The 8,583-nt window shown below is 49.0% G+C and overlaps 1 annotated feature.

The window, feature by feature from the left end:
- Positions 4,839 to 5,523: an enhancer, noted in NCBI's record as "H3K4me1 hESC enhancer chr1:11476310-11476994 (GRCh37/hg19 assembly coordinates)". NCBI's record gives its function as "activates a minimal SCP1, AML or CMV promoter by ChIP-STARR-seq in primed H9 embryonic stem cells {active_cell/tissue: H9 hESC(primed)}" and the evidence as "EXISTENCE:reporter gene assay evidence [ECO:0000049][PMID:30033119]".

The raw sequence follows: 8,583 nt of genomic DNA on the forward strand, positions 1-8,583 counted from the left end.
AGTTAATAAAGCAGCAGCAGTGTTTTCAATGTTGAAAGAAGTTCTATGGGAAAAATGCTATCATCAAACAGTATCACATGTTACAGAGAAAATCTTTCATGAAAAGAAGAGTCAATCAATGTGCAAACTTCATTGTTGTCTTATTTTAAGGAATTGCCACAGACATCCCAACCTTCAGCAACCGCCACCCTGATTGGTCAACAGCTGTCAACATCCAGGCAAGACCCTTCACCAGCAAAAAGATGATGACTCAGTGAAGGCTCAGATGATTGGTAGCACTTTTTAGCAATAAAATATTTTAAAGTTAAAGTCTGTACATTGTTTTTTTGGACATAATTCTGTTGCACACTTAAGAGACTACAGTATAGTGTAAATGTAACTTGTACATGCACTGGGAAACCAAGAAATTTATATGACTTGCTTTATTGCAATACTTGCTTGGTTGCAGTCGTCTGGAACTGAACCCACAATATCTCCAAGGTGTGTCTGTACACAAACACAACAACTGCTGCCATTTACTGAGGTTCTCTGCTGTGCCAGGCACTGTGCCCAGTACTCTGCATGTATCATCTTATTGACTGCTCTCGCCAACCCCATGAAGGGGCAGTAGTATTAACCCACAATGAAGAAACTGAGGCATGGAGAAGTTAATAACCTACCCTAGGATGCATAGTTGCAAGATGGCAGAACCATAATTGGAAAGTAGGCCATCTGGCTTAGGACTGGGATCTTGGCCTCTTTGCTAAGGGATTGCCCCCCCACCCCCACCATCCTTTCCACCCTCCTGCCTTGAATACAACTCCCCCCAGCCCTGCCCGATCTTTAACTCCCCCTCAACCACCTGGCCCATCAGTGACCTCCTAGCCCTGCCATGAAATCTGGGCCAGCCCCATGCTGGGGCATGGCTCCCAGCCTGTCCTTAGAAAGACATACTCCCTGCCAAAAAGCAGCTCAATGAAGAGGACATGGTGAGGGCAGCCCCATTAATATTCCTTCCTTCTGTCATTTTGGCAGGAAACAGTGAGATCCTGGAGAGGCGGGGAAGGGGGAGGGGGCAGTGAGTGTGGGGCTGTATACCTGACAAGAGGAGACGTCTTATGGCATCATTCATGAGGGTGGGTTTAATCCTGGCAGAGGGATCAGGATGGGTGGAGGGATGGGAGGCATCTTCAGAAGGGAACCCCAAAGGATGGGGAGGGATGGCCTGGAATAGATAAAGGGTGAGGAGCCTGGGTGCCCCCTACCCAGGAAGGCAGAAGCAAGGCCACCTCCCTACGATAGTCTTTACAACCAGCCCGACCAGTCATGTGTCATATAAGTGCACACGCACACATACACGCACACACACATGCACACTGCTGTGCACTCCCTGAGGAGGGTCCAGTGCGGTCTGAGCCATGTCTTTGTCCCCAGCACACTTAGCTCAGAGCCTGGCCCTCAATCATGAATATGTGCTGAACAGATCCTGGTTTATGTATTTTAAAATTTTTTAAATTATAGTCATGCTTTGCTAATGACAGCGTCAGAGGCTGATAAATGCATCATTAGGTGATTTCGTCCTTGTGTGAACGTCATAGCGTGTATTTACACACACCTAGATGGCGTAGCCTATTCCACACCTAGGCTCTATGGTAGAGCCCGTTGCTCCTAGGCTGCAAACCTGCACAGTGTGTGTGTCCCAAATGCTCTCGGCAGCTGCTAACACCGTAGTATTCGTGTATCACAACATATGTGAACATAAGAAAGGCACAGTAAATATATTGTATTATCGTCCTACGGGACCACCGTCATCTATGTGGCCGTCGTGGGCCAACACATTGGTGTGAAGCACATGGCCGACCACGTGTTGTATCTGAATCTAGGTCGACCCACTGTGCGATTAAACACCAAAGTAGCGTATTATGGAGAAAAAGTGAAATTCTCTCCCTCCTTTATCCCACCGCTTTCTCTGCTCCCCACCAAGGTAAACACTGTTAGCAGTTTGGCAGCCTCCTCCTTCCGCAGGGTTTCCAGAAGGCATGAATCTGTAATCTCACGAAGCGGGCAACACACACACACACACACACACACACACACACACACACACACACGCTTTGGGACCCACCACCCTTCCTTTATTTTCCCCTCCTCCATTTCCTCCCTCCCCCAGCCCCCTCCGCCACTGCCGTGGCCCTGGTGCTGGACTCAGCAGGGATTCACAGCAGGACAGCAGAGGCTGTCCTCACCCTTCCCAGTATTCCTCCTCTGCTGAGAGGGAGGGACATGGGCATGGATAGGGGAGGGTGGCAGTAGGTGGAGGTTCCCCAGGAGGTGTCCCTAAAGGGTAGGGAGAGAAATTGGAAGACCCAAGATTGGCTGCATTTCTAGCTGAGACTCTTTCGTGATAGCTCTCCCTCCTCCCTCCTCCCTCTTTCCTCCTCCCTCTTTCCTCCTCCCTCTTTCCTCCTCCCTCTTTCCTCCTCCCTCCTCCCTCTTTCCTCCTCCCTCCTCCCTCTTTCCTCCTCCCTCCTTCTCCCCCTTCTCCTCCTCCCCCTCCTCCTCCTTCTCCTCCTCAACTGGAGCCCAGCCTTGTATCTCTTGCTCCAATGCGGAGCCTTGCATGGAGGTCTCAGCTTGCTCTGAAAGCTTGTCATGTCTGTGTTTAATGAAGTTTAATTATCTTCCAAGATTCAATGAATAATTATAAATCTTTTCAAGATGCAATCACACGGGTTCATGCTTCATTAACAGTGGAAAATCAATTGTAATTCGCGTAATTCCTTTCTTCTGGAGATCAGTCTGTTTGTACACGCGCTCCCCTCCTCACCCTGCTTTGTCTGCCCCAAGAAGTACAAAGGATGCCTGGCTTTTTCCTCCAGAATTGACGAGCCTTGTCAGGAGCAGGGAGGAGAGCGAGGCCCAGCTGGAGCAGGTGGGGGAGGGGAGGGAGAGAAAAATGGTCCCAGGGGAATAGGCCTGGGGAGCTATTTCTAGGAGGCAGAGCTGGGGGATGAGGGATTGGAGGGCAGAGGGGAGGAGTCTACAAGGCTATGAGGAGGCAGAGTGTTTCTTAACTTTTTAGGGGGGTCCCAGACCCCTTTAAAAACCTGTTGAGGCCAGACACAGTGGTTCACACCTGTAATCCCAGCACTTTAGGAGGCCGAGTACTGGTTATTTGAGGTTGGGAGTTCAAGACCAGCCTGGCCAACATGGTGAAACCCTGTCTCTATTAAAAATACAAAAATTAGCCGGGTGTAGTGGCACACACCTGTAATCCCAGCTACTCAGGAGGCTGAGGCAGGAGAATCGCTTGAACCCAGGAGGCAGAGGTTGCAGTGAGCCGAGATGGCACCACTGCATTCCAACCTGGGTGACAGAGCAAGACTCCGTTTCAAAAAAAAAAGTCTGTTTAAACTATTGACGCCCCCAGAAAAATGATATTCTGAGGGTGTCACCTTGCTTTCAGGGTGTTACATCCTGAGGTCCTTTCCAGCTGCTCTGACCTCCTAGGGGTCGCAGATAACTGTGAGAATACGAGGCTGCTTCTTAGTAATGTTGGACATTCTTTTAGCTCCAAGAAATCCAGAGCCCCTGCTGGGAGCTGGGTGCCATCTGCGGCCCAGCTCCAAGAGAAACTGCCTCGCTTTTCTCCAAACCACAGACGACAGCCCTGGGCCAGGGCAGCTGTGCCCGAGCCTCGTCTTCTCTGAGATGTCTGCCGCCAACAGCGCCACTGACCGGCACAGCCTTGTTGCAGACAACACTTAGCTTTCTCTCGAAGGTGGCAAGTTGCCCGCGTCTGCACAGCAGAGGAGAGTGGGGCTCTGTAAGGGACTTCAGGGGCCACAAAGATATGGGGAAGTCCTTATCCAATTAGCCAGACCACTGGAGGGAGTGGAGGAAAGAAAGCTGTTCTGCAGATATCTGGACTCTTCAAAGTGAATAGAGGATGAGGACCTCCGACCTCTTGCTGCGGGCGGTTTCTTCCCTGAACTTCAGTCCTCAGCCTCTAAGCTGCGCTGTCTAATGGAACTTTCTGTCCAGTGTAGTAGCCACCGGCCATATGTGACTATTTCAATTTAAGTTAATATCAAAGAAAATTAAAAATTCAGTTGCTCGGCTGCATTAGCCACGTTTCAAGTGCTCAAGAGCCACACGTGGCCTGTGGCTGGTGTATTGGACAACACAGACATAGAACAGAATCATCATTAAAGAAAATTCGACAGACGATGCAGGTCTAGGGTCTGTAGTGCATGTCTGCAATCCATCAGATCTCATGAGCTGCCCCTAGACTTCGATTAAGTATTAGTTTCCTATGGCTGCTATAACAAATCACCCCAAACTTAGTGGCTTAAAGCAACACAAATGTATTTCCTAATGGTTTTGAAGGTCAGAAGCCTGACATGGATTTCACTGGGCTAAAATCAAGGTGTTGGCACAGCTGCACACCTTTCTGGAGGCTCTAGGGGAAAATCTGTTTCCTTCCCTTCTCCAGCTTCTAGAGGCCACTGGAATCCCTGGAATCATTCCTCTTTGTCCATCTTCAAAGCCGGGAAGACCATATCTATCTCCACAGAAGAAAGAAGTTCTCCTTTTTAAGAACTTGGATGATTAGACTGGATCCGCCCAGGCCATCCAGAATAATCTCCCCATCTCAGTCCTTAATTCGCTCAAATCTGCAAAAACTCTTTCCATGGAAGGTCATCTAGTCACACATTCCAGGAATAAGATGTGGACATCTTTTGGGACATTGTTCTGCCTACCACAGGTCCCAAACTTTTTTTTTTTTCCAGTTGTGGATCCTGAGATCCAGAGAGGAGAAGAGGCTTTTCCAAGTCACACAAGGTGTAACGGGTACTGCAGTCTCCACCCAGGTTCCCTCTTCCAGGGCATGCACCCACCCCTAGCTGCTGGAATTAGAAGCTGCTGATAGCTCAAAACTGTGCCCCTCACAGAGCATTGCCTTTGGCCTATAGACCTGTCTTGATCAATGTCACACCCTACCCCACCCCTCCCTGCAGGCCCCCTGACAATGACAGATGTAACTATACAAACGTCTGTTCCCTTGCCTCTATTTGGGACCTCTGTAGTGACCAGTCCAGGTCCAGAGCCCTTCACGGGATGAGCTCAGATCTTAGGGGCAACGATTGAGGATCGGCTTCTCCCTCTGGCCAGTCCTGCAGTGATCTCGGATCAGTTTCCCTCTGGCAGTACTGCTGTGCTCGCTACCCTTCAGGTGTGTCTCCTGGAAGCCTCCCCAGTCACTCATCTGCAGCAGCCCAGGGGACAAAGCTCCAGCTCCTCCCCTTGGTCCATAGCACCTTTTATGATCTGGCCCCTGCTGGCCCGTCAGCCGCAGCAACTCACATGCTCCCTGTGCTCCAGCCTAAACAAGTCACTTTCAATTTCCCAAATGTCCCAGACTTTCTCGGCCTCCAAGCCTTTGCCCATGCTGGTCCTGCTGTTTGAAATGCCCTTCATCTCCTGGCCAACTCCTCCTCACTCTTTAGGACTCAGCTCAAATGTCACCTCTTCCTGGAAGCCTTCCCCAACTTCCTCATCCCATCCCAGTCTCCAGGAGGATCCTCTCCGCTGAGCCTCCATGGCTCCCTGGGCCCACTGCTTTGCAGCTCTCACCAAGGTCTACAGAGTGCTCTGAGATTGGAGCTGTGTCTTATTCCTTTCTGTATCTTAAGACACAGCATCTTGCCAAGAGTGGGGACTCACTAAGTGTTTGTTGACTGACTGTGAACTCAGCTGGCCCCTATTATCCCTATTTACAGAGGAAGTTGAGAAGGTAGTGAGACCTGGGACACTGAGGCCCATCCTGGGGACTCATTTCCCGAGCAAAGACATCCTGGCAGCTCCCCAGACTCCAAAAGGCCAGGAACTGCCGACAGCTGCTTGACATCTGAGCTGCAACTCCTGCCTAATGAATGATTCCTCTTCCACACATATGTTTCTGGTAATCAATTGGCTCGTCATTAGCCCACAGCAGCAGTTGTCTCAACTTCAAATGAAATGCAAATGTAATTGTTTTCTTTAGGCCTGGTGGGGTCAGGCTCCTCTTCTCAGGAGGAGGCCCGTCCCCCTCTCCCAGACTGCCAAGACTCAGGACTGCAGGGCCTGCTAGTGCCCTGGAAGGAGGCTGGACTGGAGCTCCCAGAAGTGACATAAGCCCCCTCTGCTCACCCAGTGTTTGGCTTGTTTCTCCTAACTAGCACTGCAGTCTACTTGCCACCCTCGTATGCAGTTCAGTTGCAAGTACGCTCAAGTAATGTGCCACTGATAATCATTGATGTACCAACCGTTGTGAGTAATTTGCTTAAAAAATATACAGCCGAGTGCGGTGGCTCATGCCTGTAATTCTAGCACTTTGGGAGGCTGAGGCAGGTGGATCACTTGAGGCCAGGAGTTTGAGACCAGCCTAGCAAACATGGCGAAACCCTGTCTCTACTAAAAACACAAACAAATTAGGTGGGCGTGGTGGCGCATACATGTAATCCCAGCTACTCGGGAGGTTGAGGCAGGAGAATCGCTTGAACCCGGGAGGTGGAGGTTGCAGTGAGCCGAGAGGGCATCACTGCATTCCAGCCTGGGCCACAGAGCAAGACTCTGTCTCAAAAAAAAAAAAAAAAAAAAAAAAGAAATAAAAAAAAATCAAGTAGAGTAGATTTAATGTTCTCTGTCTAATAAGGTCACTGTCACTCATCCCACATGCTTCCTTGTAGGGAAGAGGCCGGGGGGCATTATATCTGGGAACAGTGTGGCCTCCAGGGCTGTCTCACTGCCGCAGCAGCCTGAGGGTCATTAGCAGTCAGGGCAATTGTGAGTGATCATGGGGTGTGTGCATTGCAATTTTATAGCTACACTCATTTCCTTTTACATGTTGGATTTTATTAAACTCTGGATGAGCCTGGATGGGGGAATTATTGAACTGCTTATAATGAGGATAGTTAACCCCTCCAGAGCACTTTCGCCCGTTGCAGGTACCATTTTCAGAGCTCTATGTGCATGATGATTGTCTTAATCTTTTTATGAGCCCATGAAGTAGGTTCCATTATTTTCCTCATTTTAGAGAAGAAAATTGAAGCTCAGAGAAGTCAAGAAATGTGCTCAAGGTCACCCAGCTGCTGGGTGGCAGAATAAGGATTTGCACCTCAGTTTATCTGAGTCCAGAGCTTGCTTTTAAAAATTCTTGCAAGACGTACACTGAGTTGCCTCACATTTGCCCATTGACCCACTATCTGTGAGTTGGTCCTGTGCTGGGTGCTCAGGAGCATCAAAAGACAGGTCCTGGGAGCCAGACCTGGGACCCCAGGGCTCCTGCTCCCCCAGAGCCAGGTTGCTATCCGCCTATGTCCTTGTCCCATCCTCTCCCTACTAGAGGACAGTGATTCTTTCCTCTTGCACTCTCTGGCATCATCAATTTTCCCTCTCTCCTGGGTCATTTCCAATGCCATAAGCATGCTATGATTTTTCCCCATCTTAAGAAAATAACCTTCTCTCAACCATGCTCCTCTCCTCTGTGCTACACCATTTCTCTTTCCCTTTACAGGGAAGAGTTCTGACTTGCTGTCTCCAATTCCTTTCCGCCCAGTCTCTCCTGAATCCACCCAATCAGGCTTTACCTGCATTGCTCCATCAAAACTGCCCTTGTCAAGGTCATTGATGCCCTCTTCATCACTCTGTTCCATGCTGGACCCTTGGTCCTCTTTGTCCTTTTCCCATCGGCTGCCTTTGACTCTCGTAATTGTCTCCTCCTTGAACCTGTTCTTCCTGAGGCTTCTAGGACACTGGCTTCTGGCTTCTCCTCCTGTCTCTCTCTGGTTGCTCCCTCTCCGCCCCCCTGCACAACAATCTGACTTTTTTTTTCTTTTTTCTTTTCTTTATTATACTTTAAATTCTAGGGTACATGTGTACAATGTGCAGATTTGATACATACGTATACATGTGCCATGTTGGTGTGCTGCACCCATTAACTCGTCATTTACATTAGGTATATCTCCTAATGCTATCCCTCCCCTAGCCCCCGACCCCCCAACAGGCCCCGGTGTGTGATGTTCCCTGCCCTATGTCCAAGTGTTCTCATTGCTCAATTCCCACCTATAAGTGAGAACATGTGGTGTTTGGTTTTCTGTCCTTGTGATAGTTTGCTGAGAATGATGGTTTCCAGCTTCATCCATGTCCCAGCAAAGGACATGAACTCATCCTTTTTATGGCTGCATAGTATTCCATGGTGTGTATGTGCCACATATTCTTAATCCTTTTATCATTGATGGACATTTGAGTTGCTTCCAAGTCTCTGCTATTGTGAATAGTGCCGCAATAAACATACGTGTGCATGTGTCTTTATAGTAGCATGACTTACAATCCTTTGGGAATATACCCAGTAATGGGATTGCTGGATCAAATGGTATTCCTAGTTCTAGATCCTTGAGGAATCGCCACACTGTCTTCCACAATGGTTGAACTAATTTACACTCCCACCAACAGTGTAAAAGCGTTCCTATTTCTCCACATCCTCTCCAGCATCTGTTGTTTCCTGACTTTTTAATGATCGCCATTCTAACTGGCATGAGATAGTATCTCATTGTGGTTTTG

The sequence above is a fragment of the Homo sapiens genome, chromosome 1 (genome assembly GCF_000001405.40).
Source record: "Homo sapiens chromosome 1, GRCh38.p14 Primary Assembly".
NCBI classification, from domain to species: Eukaryota; Metazoa; Chordata; class Mammalia; order Primates; family Hominidae; genus Homo; species Homo sapiens.